Source organism: Homo sapiens, chromosome 2, assembly GCF_000001405.40.
Source record: "Homo sapiens chromosome 2, GRCh38.p14 Primary Assembly".
Lineage (NCBI taxonomy): Eukaryota > Metazoa > Chordata > Mammalia > Primates > Hominidae > Homo > Homo sapiens.
Window position 1 is genome coordinate 215,527,617 of NC_000002.12, and position 14,726 is coordinate 215,542,342.

Here is a 14,726-nt window from a genome sequence, read left to right on the forward strand (position 1 = left end):
TGTGCCTGTAATCTCAGCAATTGGCAAGGCTGAGGCAGGAGAAATTGCTTGAACCCCGGAGGTGGAGGTTGCAGTGAGCTGAGATCATGCCACTGTAGAGAGAGAGACTCCATCTCAAAAACAAAAAGGAAAACAAAACAAAACAAAAAAACCCAAAACCCCAAAACACATATACAGGAGAATGTGGGGACTCTGAAATGTGTGAATGAACCAAAGCTAAAACCCTCCCAGTATGTCCCTGGTTCCACAGAAAGAAAGCAGCTGCCGTGTCTACATTGGAAACTAGATCAGTGCATGACTGAAAATAATGATGTGTTGGCATGAGGTTACATACTTAACCAAAGAAAGCTTTTCTTAAATAAAGGGTGAAGAATGACATCAACTATTTGGGTTATCTAGCCACATTGCTTCAAGTTGGGCTTGTTTCCTGAAATCTTTTCCAAACCTTTTGGATTAATTTTTATTGTATTAATAAATATTCTACAACAAACCAGTTTAGTAAAACAATTTAGACCATTAGGACAAAAACACACAAAAAACACGCTAATCTTTTTGTTAGCTACATAATTTTGTTGACATTCTTCTTGATTTTAGAAGGCTGTTAGTAATTGATAGCTTAGATCAAGTCTACACTGAAAAAAGGAAAACAGAATGAAAAAATGTCTTATGAAGTTCACCAGTGTAGATAGTTTAGATTTCAAAGAAAATTTCTTAATTGTGTGTCTATACTATCTGAATGCCTTGATTATTGACTAGATTTTTACCATGTTTTGTGATATTTGTGTGTGTCTGTGTATGTATGTGTCTATCCATCTAATCTATCCATTTCTATTATCTACAACATTTGAGTCAAAGTTCTTGCATTCTTTCTATATTTGCCAAAAGTATGAAAAGAGAAATGCCCTAAAAGTATATATATTTTTATATATAAGTGGTTTTTTTTTTTCTTTCTTTCTAATGGCTCAAAAATTATGTAGGTGGAGGATTTGGCTTTATCTTGAATGAATCATCTTTAGAATCAATACTGATTCAGGGTGAAAATGATCGTGGGGGATTGTTCTCATTTTTCCATGTTGAACATACCATTCCAGAAGTCCTGTGGCAATTCCCAGCTTAGCCGCTGACTCATTCAGCCATATTTCCCTCCACAGGATGTGAGGAGGTGGTATGTCTGGGGACCATAAACATCCCTAAGGCATCACCCCCACCTAACCCTGGGGCTTGACTGAGTTTTATGAAATACAGGGCCAGGCTCAGCCCTTGTGTTTCTACATTGTCTTCAGAAGCCTGAACAATAAACCATAAACCATAAGAAAGATGGGTGTAATTAATTCCTTTTCTACACAGTTGTACACTCTGCTGCTAAGTATTCTAGTCCTCCTATCTTTTCTGCAATGTATTTCTAAACTTTTACATGTAGTGTGGAAAACATGTTGGAATTATGCACACATATAGATTGAGAAGCTTACAGTCCTTGAAACAGGTAAAAACCTGAACTGAAGAAAGTCTGTAAAAGATCTGTATCATGACTTTGTAGGGTAGTTGTTGTATGGTGGGCACAAATCAAATCTAACTGCTGTCCTCATTAGAAGAGAGAATTTGGATACACGAAGAGACACCAGGGATGCATGGACACAGAGAAAAGGCCAGGTGAGGACGCAGTGAGAGTGTGGCCACCTGCAAGTGAAGGCAGCGGGGCTTGGGAGAAATTAAACCTGCCTGCACCTTGATCTTGGGCTGCCAGCCTCCAGAACTGTGAAAATAATTTCTATTGTTTAAACACCCTGTCTGTGGTATTTTGTTATGGCAACTCTAGCAAACTAATACAGTGGTGTAGTAGGAAAAGCTCAGTTTTGAAATACAGTCAGGAGTTGCTTAACAACGGGGCTATGTTCCAAGTTATGTGTTGTTAGGTGACTTTATCACTATGCAAACATTGTAATGTGTGCTTACATAAATCTAGATGGTATAGCCTACTACACACCTAGGCTACATGGTATAGCGTATTGCTCCTAGGCTACAAGCGTGCATAGTATGTTACTGTACTGAATACTGTGGGCAATTGTAACATAATGGTAAGTATTTGTGTATCTAAACATAGAAAAGGTGCAGTAAAAATATGGCATAAAAGATTAACAAGTGGTACATAAGACAGCTTCATTATAATCATGCAAGACCACCATCATATTTGTGGTCCACCATAGATTCAAATGTCCTTATGTGTAACCTGACTGTAGATGAATCTGAGTACAGCTTGCAGCACTAGTGTAATCTTGGAAAAATTGTTTAAACACTCTGAACACCAGTTTCCCCATTTGTAAATTGAGGATAACAATAACTACCTATCAAGGTTATCTTAAGGAACAAATGAATCTATATAGGTAGTGCCTGACATAAAGTAGGTACTCAAGAAATATTTTAGAGACTTTACTCTCTGCTGGGGGAAAGGCATAGAATTTTGCAATTAATCAGATTTGGATTTGAATCTGCATTTCGTCACTTAGCCAAGTGACCTTGGGCACATAACTTAAAATCTGCGATCACCAATCCTACATATAAAACACTAGGAATGTATTACGTTAGGTGCTCAGTACATCTTAGTTCTCCTTGGAGATTCTGGTTACAGACACAGTTCCAATTCTTTCTGAATATCAAAGTAATATATAAACAATGTGTTTGCTAGGGAGAGGTGTGTTTGCTAGGGAGGGTCTAACCGAGAGGATGAGGCTCTAATTACAATATTTATAGTACTTGTATTTTGATTGCTTATGCTTACTCACCACATGATGAGTAAATGGGATGGTCTTTCTGAAGGAAAAGCAACTATACAAAGGATTCAAAGAGAAAGCTTTACCATCAGGCTGACACAAAGGCTATTAATAATCCTGTCCTCGAGGTGCCATGTGAAATCTTGATTCCTAAATGAGAAAATAAGTACATGTAGAGCTGAAATAAGTAAAAATCTATTTATGCAAGAGAAAAGTCACCATTAATTTGCTAAAACATTCCAGACATTTGTAACTTTGTGTGTATTTATATTTATATAATTACTTTCTATGCACACCATTTGATAACTGCCTTTCCCCCCACTTCACAATAGTTTATGGACCTTTTTCCATATTTCCACATCATTAAATAGTCCACTCAGCATTATTTTAAATGACTGAAAGGCACTGCATTGTTAGAATGTACCAGGATTTTAAAACAAATCCTTTTTGTTGGACATTTAGGTTCAACAAACTTTGTTTTTAAAAATCAAGAGGTTAATTCTCTGGTTGCCCATCTGATTGATGACTTAGAGGTGCATAGAGTTGAGGTAAACTGAGTGTGCGAATGTGAACTTGCAGGAGTGGGTGAAGACAGAATGCCTATCTCGGCACTGCAGAAAAAAAGTAGGGAAAGTGCAGCATCGTGAGAAATGCATTTCTGCCTTAAGTTTACTGGGAAAAATCAATTTTAGGGCCTAATAGAGCATCACTTATCTATATGTCACTTGGAATCAGTGTGTTTTCACCATCAACTAAGGACTACTATCTTGGACTGTGTCTCAAGAGAAATGGAGTAGAATCTCCAGATAGCCTTTTTCAGCCTTAGCAACAGGAAAGACAGAAATGACTTGGATATGTACAAACCTTCATAGATGATTGTGTGAAACTTGAGCTTTAAGAAAAAAGATGACAATTCTAAATATGCATTTTCTTGTGAAAGTCATAGAGATATTTTGAGGCGATTCATATTTTTAGATATAGTAGTTATTATTCCCTTCACGAAGAGATAAGATAGGCATTTCATTCCTCTCCCCTTTAGATTCATAAAACAAAGGTGTCTTTCATGGAATCAACTACCCAGCTAGGAAAATGTGTCAGGCTTACCAGTCAAGCTCAAAAATATGAAAAAGGTGACGTCTGTTTAGTTTCTCACAATTTTTTCCTTTTCCCCGATCCCAGATCTGTGAGTCACCATTCTGTGTGAAAAATATTTAGAGTGAGAATTATTCCTTGACAAGTTATGTTGTTAGACGAACTTCCCTATCACTCAAAGAAATGACCCTTATCTCTTTCTTTACTTGAAGAATATCTTGCAAAAACATTTAATCTAGTCCAGAATAATTTCAGGGGTTGACAACACTGCTCTCAAGCCATTTTGTAAATACCACTGCCTCATTTTAAAGAAAAGAACTTCTGTTTTCTTTTCTTGGTTAGTGGATTCTGGTAAGTCCCACCAGTTTGGTTCTATAAACAGAGGCCCTGACAATTTTATTAAGAGCACTGGTTTAATATAATGATTCATGAAAAAAGCCTAGATTAGAATATTAAAATATTAAGTAAGTAGATAACATGCAATTCTACCAGGAGGTATAAGGATGGAAATATCACAAATGCATCTCTTGGATCTATTATGAACATTAAAACCATCAGCCTGAGCACTTACTAGATTTTTTAACTGTGGCGTGTAGGTTTTTCAAAAAATATTTTTACATAAATATGCCCTCCTGTGGCCACTCACCTTTCCCCATTCACATCGCCCTTTCCCTTACCTTCCAATAAGCAAATATATCTTAACTAATGTCAGGCCTTAAGAGACATTTGTATTGGCATTCTATTTGACTTTAAGGTAAAACTAGAAATTTTTAGGAGTCACTTGACTGGTGAAATCACTCTCACTCTTTTTTTATGATTTAATGTTTTTATTGTCACTGTTAACTAGCATGAGATGGGGAAATTTTATTATATATGTGATAAAGGATTAATATCCAGAATATATAGGGAATTCTAAAATTCTACAACAATCACAATAAACACCCTGATTCAAAAGTGGCAAAGGACTTGAAAAGACACTTCTCCAAATAAGTTATACAAATGGCCAATAGGCCTGTGAAAAATGTTCAAACTCACTAATCTTTAGGAAAATGCAAATGAAAACTACAATGACATCTCACCTCATATTTAGGATAACTATTGTTAAGTAAAAACAAAAACAAAAAATAACAAGTGTTGGTGAGGATGTGGAGAAACTGAAACCCTTCTGCACTGATGGTGAGAATGTAAAATGGCATGTCCACTATGGAAAACAGTATGGTTGTCCCTCAAAAATTTTAAAGTGGAATTACTATATGATTCATCAATTCTACTTCTAGGTATATACCCCAAATAATTGAAAGCAGAGACTTGAAATATCTTGAAATTCAATTGAAATATCTCAAAATGGAATTGAAAGCAGGATCTTGAAATATCTCTGGAAGAGATTTTGTGATAGGTTTGGCTCTGTGTCCCCACTGAAATCTCATGTTGAATTGTAATCTCCAGTGTTGCGGGAGGGACCTGGTGGGAGATGATTAGATCATATGGAGCAGATTTCCCACTTGCTGTTCTCCTGATAGTGAGTGAGCTATTGCAAGATCTGGTTGTTTACATGTGTGTAGCACTTCCCCTTTGCTCTCTCACTTTCTCCCACTCCACTATTTGAAGAAGGTGCTTGCTTTCCCTTCTCTCTTTTGCCATGATTGAAAGTTTCCTGAAGCCTCCCCAGCTATGCTTCCTGTACAACCTGTGGAACTGTGAGTCAATTAAACCTCTTTTCTTCATATACTACCCAGTCTCGTGTAGTTTTTGATAGCAGTATGAGAATAAACCAATACAGAAAATTGGTACCAGAGAAGTGGGGCATTGCTATAAAGATATCTGAGAATGTGAAAGTGACATTGGGACTGGGTAATGGGCAGAGGTTGGAAAAGTTTGGGAGGTTAAGAAGACGACAGGAAGATGAGGGAAGGTTTGGAACTTCCTAGAGACTTGAATGGTTTTGACTAAAATGCTGATAGTAATATGGACAATGAAGTCCAGGCTGAGGTGGTCTCAGATGGAGATGAGAAACTTCTTGGGAACTGGAGCCAAGGTCACTCTTGCTATGCATTAGGAAAGAGACTGGAAGCATTGTACCCCTGCTCAGGATCTTTGGAACTTTGAACTTGAGGGAGATGATTTAGGGTACCTGGTGGAAGAAATTTCTAAGCAGAAAATCATTCAAGAAATGACCTGGCTGCTTCTAAAAGCCTATGCTCATTTGCATAAGCAAAGAGAATATTTTAAAGAGAAGCAGAGCATAAATGTTTTAAAAATCTGTAGCCTGACTATGTGGCAGAAAAGAAAAAAATATTTTCTGGGGAGAAATTCAAGCTGGTTGCAGAAATTTGCATAAGTAAAGAGGAGCTGAATGTTAATAGCCAAGACAATGGGGAAAAAACCCTCCAGGGCACTTCAGAGACCTTCACCGCAGCCCCTCCCATCACAAGCCTGGAGGCCTAGGAGGGAAAAATGGTTTTGTGAGCCAGGGCCAGGGCCCTGCTACTTTATGCAGCCTCAGGACATGGCACCCTGCATCCCAGCCACTCCAGCTCCAGCCATGGCTAAAAGGGGTGAAGGTACAACTTGGGCCATTCCTTCAGTGCATGCAAGCCCCAAGCCTTGGTGGCTTCCATGTGGTGTTGAGCTCGCAGGTGCACAGAAGGCAAGAGTTGAGGTTTGCGAGCCTCTGCCTACACTTAAGAGGATGTATAGAAACACTTGGATGTTCAGGCAGAAGTCTGATGCAGGGGCAGAGCGCTCATGGAGAACCTCTACTAGCGCAATGCAGAGGGGAAATGTGGGTTTGAAGCCCCCACACAGAGTTCTAACTGAGGCACTGTCTAGTGTAGCTATGAGAAGAGGGCTACCATCCTTCAGACCCCAGAATGGTAGATCCACCAACAGTTTGCACTGTGCACCTGGAAAAGCTGCAGGCACTCAACATCAGCCTGTGAAAGCAGCCTTGGGGGCTGTACCCTGCAGAGCCACAGGGGCAGAGCTGCCCAAGGCCCTGGAAGTCCACTCCTTGCTTGCATCAGTGTGGCTTGGATGTGAGACATAGAGTCAAAGGAGATGATTTTGGATCTTTAAGGATTAATAACTTCCCTGCTGGGTTTCGGACTGGCATGGTGCCTGTAGCCTCTTTGTTTTGGCCAATTTCTCCCTTGTGGAATGGGAGCATTTACCCACTGTTTTTACCCCCATTGTATCTTGGAAATAACTAACTTGTTTTTAGTTTTACAGACTCATAGGCAGAAGGGACTTACCTTGTTTCAGATGAGATTTTGGACTTGGACTTTTTGGAATAAGTTAAGACTTTGGGGGACTATTGGAAAGGCATGACTGGTTTTGAAATGTGAGGAGGACATGAGATTTGGGAGAGGCCAAGGGCTGAATGATATGGTTTGGCTCTGTATTTCCTCTCAAATCTCATGTTGAATTGTAATCCCAGGTGTTGGGGGAGGAATCTGATGGGAGGTGATTGGCTCATGAGGGTAGATTTCCCCCTTGCTGTTCTTGTGATAGTGAGTGAGTTCTCATGAGATCTGGTTGTTTTAAAGTGTGCAGCGCTTCCCCTTTGCTCTGTCTCTTCCTCCTGCCCTGCATGTGAAGAAGGTGCTTGCTTCCCCTTCACTCTTCCACCATGATTGTAAGTTTCCTGAGGCTTCTCCAACTATGCTTCCTGTGCAGCCTGCAGAACTATGAGTCAAGTAAACCTCTTTTCTTTATAAATTACTCAGTCTCAGGTAGTTCTTTATAGCAGTGTGAGAACAAACATTATCCAAAATAGCTAAAAGATGGAAGCAACCGAAGTGTCCATAGACTAGACGAAAGGATATGCAAAATGTGTGTAAAATAAGCCAGTCATCAAAAAGAAAAATACTGTGTGTTTCCACTTATATGAGGTACCTAGAGGAGACAAAGATTACAGAGATAGGAAGTAGAATGTGGTTGCCAGGGACTACATGGAGAGAGGAATGAAGAGTTATTGCAGTTTTACAAGATGAAAAGAATCCTGGAGATGGATGGTGATGATGATTGCACAACAATATGAATGTACTTAATGCTACAGAACTGTACACTTAAAAATGGTTAAGATAGTAAATGTTATATGTATTTCACGAAGATTTAAAATTTTAAATTAGAAAAAATGAGGGATTTTATACTCTTTTTAAGCAACATTTTTGTTCAGTTTCTGTTAATGTTAATAGTAGTTGTTATTTTTCATTTGACCTGACTTATCCAGTAGATGCATTCGATAGTTGCTTTGCATTATGTGACATTTCAGTAATAAATCTCTAGAGGAAAATATTTCATTTTCATGATGTTTACTTATGATGGGGTGATGATAAAATTATCATAGCTGCTCCTAGAATCTGTTAACAATGTTTCATTGATAAGTGTGGGCAAACTAGACCTGGAGTCCTCTAATTAGCTATGATGACTAGTTAACAAGCAGACAAGGTCAGGCAAATAAACATTTATGTCCACATGCTTGCATGAGGAAGTGGCTGAAGGGTGGAGTGTGTATTTTGGTCAAAAGAATGTTTAGTGATGTTTTCTTTTCCATGTTGGTTATAATTCAGCCGTCTCAGAAATCTAAATATATTCAAGTTCAGAAGCATTGTTGGCTTTGAAAACACTGATTATTTTTGTTCATATATCTAATAAACATTACATGGCCCTTCTTGTCTATAGAAAAAAATCTAACTTTGCCAAAAAAGGGCCCTAACTGGAATGATTTATATGCACTCAATATCAGGAATAAAAGCTTTATTAGTTTTAGTTGGTAAAATAATTTTGTGTTGTGGGAATCATTTTTCAAAATGCTTTATTTTCTAAACACATTACCCAAAAATACTGGGGATGGGTTATTGAAATTTCAATAATTATCATCGTATTTCTCTATTTTGGCTAAATAGAAACAAAGGCAATACATAAAAACCTATAGTGGAGCTTGAGAATTTAAAACCTATTCCTACAGTTCATGATGCTTTAATTGTAGGTACAGTGCTAAAAACACCTCTGCCACTTCACCAAAAATTTGCTCTCGAGTCCTATAGAATGTCTTTACGTGAATTGATGCACACCCCTCAGTTGATAATTCCCTCAATGACTACCTGAAATCGCTGATTTTCAGATAGTCACGTAATGCACAGACATCTCCACATTCCACAGAACAATTAGAAGAATCCTCAGGGGACATAGCTGAAGGGGAAAAAATAATTCTTCCTTTTAGATGACACATATGAAAGCATTGCCAATCCTAGTGTCATTATGCTTTGAGAGGAAAAAACAGACACAGACTGCTTTGTTGTTTTAAAAAGTTATAAATAGATGTTTATAAATTCAAACAATTAGAAATCGAAAGTAGAAAGTGCAAGTCCTCTTTGATCAATCCCATGCTCTAAAAGTAATCACTTTAAGAGTTTGGCAAGGGCTGGAAGCAGTGGCTCAGGTCTGTAATTCCAGCACTTTGGGAGGCCGAGGTGGGCAGATCACCTGAGGTTGGGAGTTTGAGACCGGCCTGACCAACATGGAGAAACCCCGTCTCTACTAAAAATACAAAATTAGCCGGGCATGGTGGCGCATGCCTGTAATGCCAGCTACTCGGGAGGCTGAGGCAGGAAAATAGCTTGAACCCGGGAGGCAGAGGTTGTGGTGAGCCAAGATCGCACCACTGCACTCCAGCGTGGGCAACAAGGCAAAACTCCATCTCAAAAGAAAAAAAAAAAAAGAGAGTTTGGCATGTATATTTTTCTAAATATTTTGTTTGGCTTCTGAAAAAAAGTATATGTATTTATATAGTTTTTACAAAAATAGAATTAAAAACTCATACTTTTCTGTAACTTACTCTTTACTTACTTTTTATCATTTAATAATGATACAAAGAAACCTGCACAGATCTGCATCATTCATTTTCATATATGCACGATAATTCATTTTAATGAATGTCCTACAATGTGTATAACTCATTCCTTCTTGATGGATATTGAATAACATGCTGGTTATTGTCTGCTTGCCTGCTTCACAGCTTATTCTCTGCTTTAATCTATAGTTCTTTATGCTCTAGGATGCTGAACCTTGGCCTCTGGTCGGGTTTAGCCAATAGAAAGCATGGCGGATTTGGGGTTGGGGGAAAGAGGTCATGATATTTCTTCCATTTCCTTCCTCACTGAGCTGCATTTTCTGGAAGTGACGGAGCTGTTCTAAATATAATTCCTTCACCATGCCTCCATTCTGGTTCTGTTAACATAGTTCCTTTCTTTGCCTAGAGGTGGTGATGGCTTCCAGCTGTTGCTAATCTGCATGACTTACTGTCTCTTACAAAGTCCTATAACCAGTAAATGTTTAGGATTTGGCAATTTCTGTGGGTATAAATACTTTTGCAGTTTCTGATTTCAGGATACCAACTTGAGGTCACCAAATGTAACGATGGGAAGAATTGTGCACCAGAACACCACCACCTTATCCATGTTAGCATCTCATAAATTAGTCACTTTATTAACTTGAACTGAGTTGTTTCCTGTCAGAATTCTGATTGCCATAAATGATTTCCTTTTCCCCTTCCTTCCTTCCTTCCTTCCTTCCTTCCTTCCTTCCTTCCTTCCTTCTACCTTCCTTCCTTCCCTCCCTCCCTCCTCTGTCTGTCTTTCTTTCCTATTACAAGTAATAGTAAAGCAGCAAGGACTTTCTTATGAAAAAGTATTACTAGAGGTTAAATTCTGAGAACTGGGCGAAAGGTATGTCAATTCAATATTTTCATAAATATCACCTAATTGCTTTATAAAAAGTTGTATCAATTTACAGGTCCTCAAAAAGTTCCAAAAATGCATCTTTCTGCATAACCTCATCAACAACAGATATTTTTAACTTTTTAAAATTATTGTTAATAGATTAGTAAAAATGATACTTTATTTGTATTTACTTGTACAATATTATTGTTGTGGCTGAAAATCATTGTATAATTTTGCATTAAATAAATTTTTGCTGTGCATATGTGAATTGGGGGATACAATAGTCAGGTGTCTGAATTCTCTTGGAAATTTAATGAAGGGCCAGTGGCTGCTCCGCTGTCAGGAGTAAAGGAGAGATGGTCATTAGTTTGTTTAGGAAATGGCTGTATGAGTGTTTCCCATTGCTGTGGTCTGAATTGGTGTTCCCCCCAAATTAATATGTCGAAGCCCTAATTCCTAGTGTAGCTGGAGACAGGGTCTGTAGGATGCAAGGTTAAATGAAGTCATAAGAGTGGGCCCTTAATTCAACAGGACTGTGGTCTTGTAAAGAAGAGAAATCTCTCTTTCTCTCTCTCTCTGTCATGCTGTCATGTGAGGACCCAGAGAGAAAGCAATCATCCAGCAAGGAAGACAAGTCCTCACTAGAACCCAACTGTGCTGACACCTGAAGAAGGAAGTGACAATTCAGGGATAGGAAGCTCCCAGTAATGAGCGCTCTTGAAAGAATCCATGAAAGTACCCAAAGAAGAGTCAGTTGCAAACATCTTTTATGTCTAGAAAAGCACAAAGATATCTTACGATGGTTGTGGTCCATGTTTTCATCTACAGATGGAGAACTTCACTCACCGAATATATTTTGGTGGGACAGTGGAAGACAAAATTAGCACTTTAATTCCATGGCATAGGTCTAAAATGCTCAAATGAGTGACTCCCAAATGGAACTCCCTAGCCCAGAGTTTCTTGTGAATTCCTCACCCACCATTTTGAAGCCTAGGCTTCCTACCTCTCTTCTCACTGTTTAAGATGTTTCAAAATGCAAACATTTAACATCAGAATTAACTTTCCCTATTCCCCTTCAACCAAGCTCCCATCAAAGTTGAAGAAAGAGAACTCTTTTCATGCTGTTGCTTATTTCATAAACTTGGGAGCCAGAGTCATCTTTGTGCTTTCTTCTCACTTACCTCCTCTCCACCCCCAAATAAGTTCTATGAATAAATATACTTCACACCACCCACTTCTCTTTATCATCCCTGAGTCCCAGCCACCTTTATCTTCTGTCTGGTCTATTGCATTAACATATTTACTGGTCTCCTGCGTCGTCTTTGGCTCCTTCAAGTTTATTCTCTTACATAGTGGCCCGAGTGATCACAAAATAACAATCTGGTCATGCCTCCTCCTTAAAGCCCTTCATTGTTTCTAAATTGGTCTTGAGATAAAGATCCAAATCCTGAACCTCATCTGTGAAGCCCTTAATATCTGACACTTGCCAACATTGCCAGCACCACTTTCCCATTTTCCCATCACTTACCACCCAATGGCCTTCAGTTAAAACTTAATTTCTTTCCTGATCCCCCAAATCAAACTACATTCCTCTTCTATGCACTCTACTAGTATTTTATTTCCCCTCTTTTTTTTTTTTCTTTTTTTTTTTGAGACGGAGTCTCCCTCTGTCGCCCAGGCTGGAGTGCAGTGGTGAGATCTCGGCTCACTGCAAGCTCCGCCTCCCGGGTTCACGCCATTCTCCTGCCTCAGCCTCCCGAGTAGCTGGGACTACAGGTGCCCGCCACCATGCCTGGCTAATTTTTTGTATTTTTTAGTAGAGACGGGGCATTTCCCCTACTTTTATAACCATTTTGTAATTGTAATTAAATAGATATTTATGTAATTATTTGTTTATTTAATATTAAGTACATATTTATGTAATTATTTCTTTAATGTTTAATGTTAGTCTCTGTCACTACACTATAAGCTCCATGAAGGCAGGGATGATACTTATCTGTTTTCCACTGTATCTCCAACACCCATTTGAGTACCTGGCACATAGAAGGGACTCAGTAAATATTTGTCACATAATTGACAAAGAAAAATCTGATACTAAAGTCATATCAGAGGAGGTTCAGGGAGTATATTCCTAAGCCATGGGCATAAAGGTACTCAACTTCTGTGCCTCATGTGTTTCCTGAAAGAGCCAATTTAACGTTGAGCCTATATGTCTATCCTAAGAGTTAGGACTCAGATATTAATAGGGTATCCAAATAGAGATAGAATTATTTCCACCATTAACTCAATATAAGCAAAAGGATGCCCATCTTCACCTAAGATCCAGTGTAGATCTTGGGTCACTTCTGCTAAGAACATCAATGAGGGACGGGGTTGGGGGAAGGCAACATACAGATTTTAACATCATCAGTTTTTTTTTTTAAGTCTCTTAACTCTAATAGATGAGGACATTAAAATTAACTTCATGTGTGGCATCCAAAACATGGTGATTTAACTTTGTATAAAGAGAAAAAAAAATTTTGCTTCAACTTTTCACTTTTCTAGAAGCTTATATTAGAACCACTTCAGTCCTTGCCCAAATATGGTGACATAACACTGTAGATTGAAGAAATTGGCTTGAATATATAGTTTGAAATCCAGACTGGATGTAACAAGACCCCAGTGAGTCAGTATGTGATTGTTCCAAAAGTCTGGATGAAGGCCAGTCATTCATAGCTTGCCATTTCCAATGAGATTTCAAAACATGAATACTTTTAGAATCATTATTAAATAACAACAATCAAAATATCTGAAATAACAGTAGCAAATTCTAGTAAAAGATGTAAAATATACGTTCAGATTGCTTAAAATAGCCATTATAATACCATTTGCATCTACCAAGATTATTTCTAATAGCAAAGCCCCATATTCTAAGTTTGACAAGAAAGACAGGGATTTAAAAGAAAGTGTTGACTGTTCAGTATAGGATATAGAGTCAAAGAAATTTGTCAACACACTCAAAATTAGAATTTCTATAGTCACCATTTATTTTTGGACTTTTTCTCGAATGCCAGGCCAATATTTATAGAACCTGGGCTGAGCCGAGTGGTAGCCAGCATCATGTGGCATGTGGCTACCTTGGATGGTGTTTCCTGGATGATTTCCACCCTCCTCCATCCCTCCCAGCCAAAAGTATCCTTTATACCTGCACAGGTTCTGGAATTTTACCATTTGACATCTTGAAATTTCTTAGGGTTAGAGCATCCTGCCTTCCATGAAAATTCAGACATGGCTGGGAAAGGTAAGTAATAAAGACGCGTTATCATCACTGCCAACTTATCTAGAAATAAAAGGCCAGACCATTATCCATTATCAATATGTTAATTCATGCTTACCTCTTCATATTAAATTGTTGGTTATTTTAAAATAAGTATCTGATTTAGCCTCCTTGAGGCTGCACAAACTGCAAAGGTCCTTTTAAAGTGACTTGTAGTTTGTAAAGCACTTTTGTACACACTGTCTCCTGATACAAAACACAGGAGTATTCTGAATGAAAGGACAGAGGCTTGGAAAGAGCTGGCAGCAGTGAGGAACTGAATATATTAGTCTGTTCTCACACAGAAAATAAATACATACCCAAGACTGGGTAATTTATAAAGGAGAGAGGTTTAATGGACTCCCCAGTTCCACCTGGCTAGGGAGACCTCACAATCATGGTGGAAGGCAAAGGAGAAGCAAAGACATATCTTACATGGTGGCAGGCCACAGAGGTTACACAGGCGAACTCACATTTTTAATCCATCAGATCTTGTGCGACTTATTCACTACCACGAGAACAGTATGGGGGAAACCACCCCCGTGATTTGATTATCTCTACCTGGCCCTGCCCTAGACACGTGGGGATTATTACAATTCAAGGTGAGATTTGGGTGGGGACATAGCCAAACCATATCACTGAACATGAGGACCTTGTGTGGCAGTTGGGTGGGACCAGAGAGTCAAGAAGAGAATAAGAAAGGAGTGCGGGTATAGAGGCCCTGAAGTGACCTTTGTTCACATTTAGTTCTTCCCAAGAATGGTCCTGATGTTGGGTTTGCATATACTTATTGGTTCGACAGAAATAGAATTAAAGTGATTTTGAAGGGCTAGGGGAAAAATCTACCTT

General features: G+C 38.6%; 1 annotated feature.

Annotated features, from left to right (window-relative positions):
• Positions 508 to 1,707: an enhancer, noted in NCBI's record as "BRD4-independent group 4 enhancer chr2:216392847-216394046 (GRCh37/hg19 assembly coordinates)". NCBI's record gives its function as "activates an origin of replication core promoter dependent on BRD2, P300/CBP, MED14 and CDK7 cofactors, and independent of BRD4, by STARR-seq in HCT116 cells {active_cell/tissue: HCT116}" and the evidence as "EXISTENCE:reporter gene assay evidence [ECO:0000049][PMID:35650434]".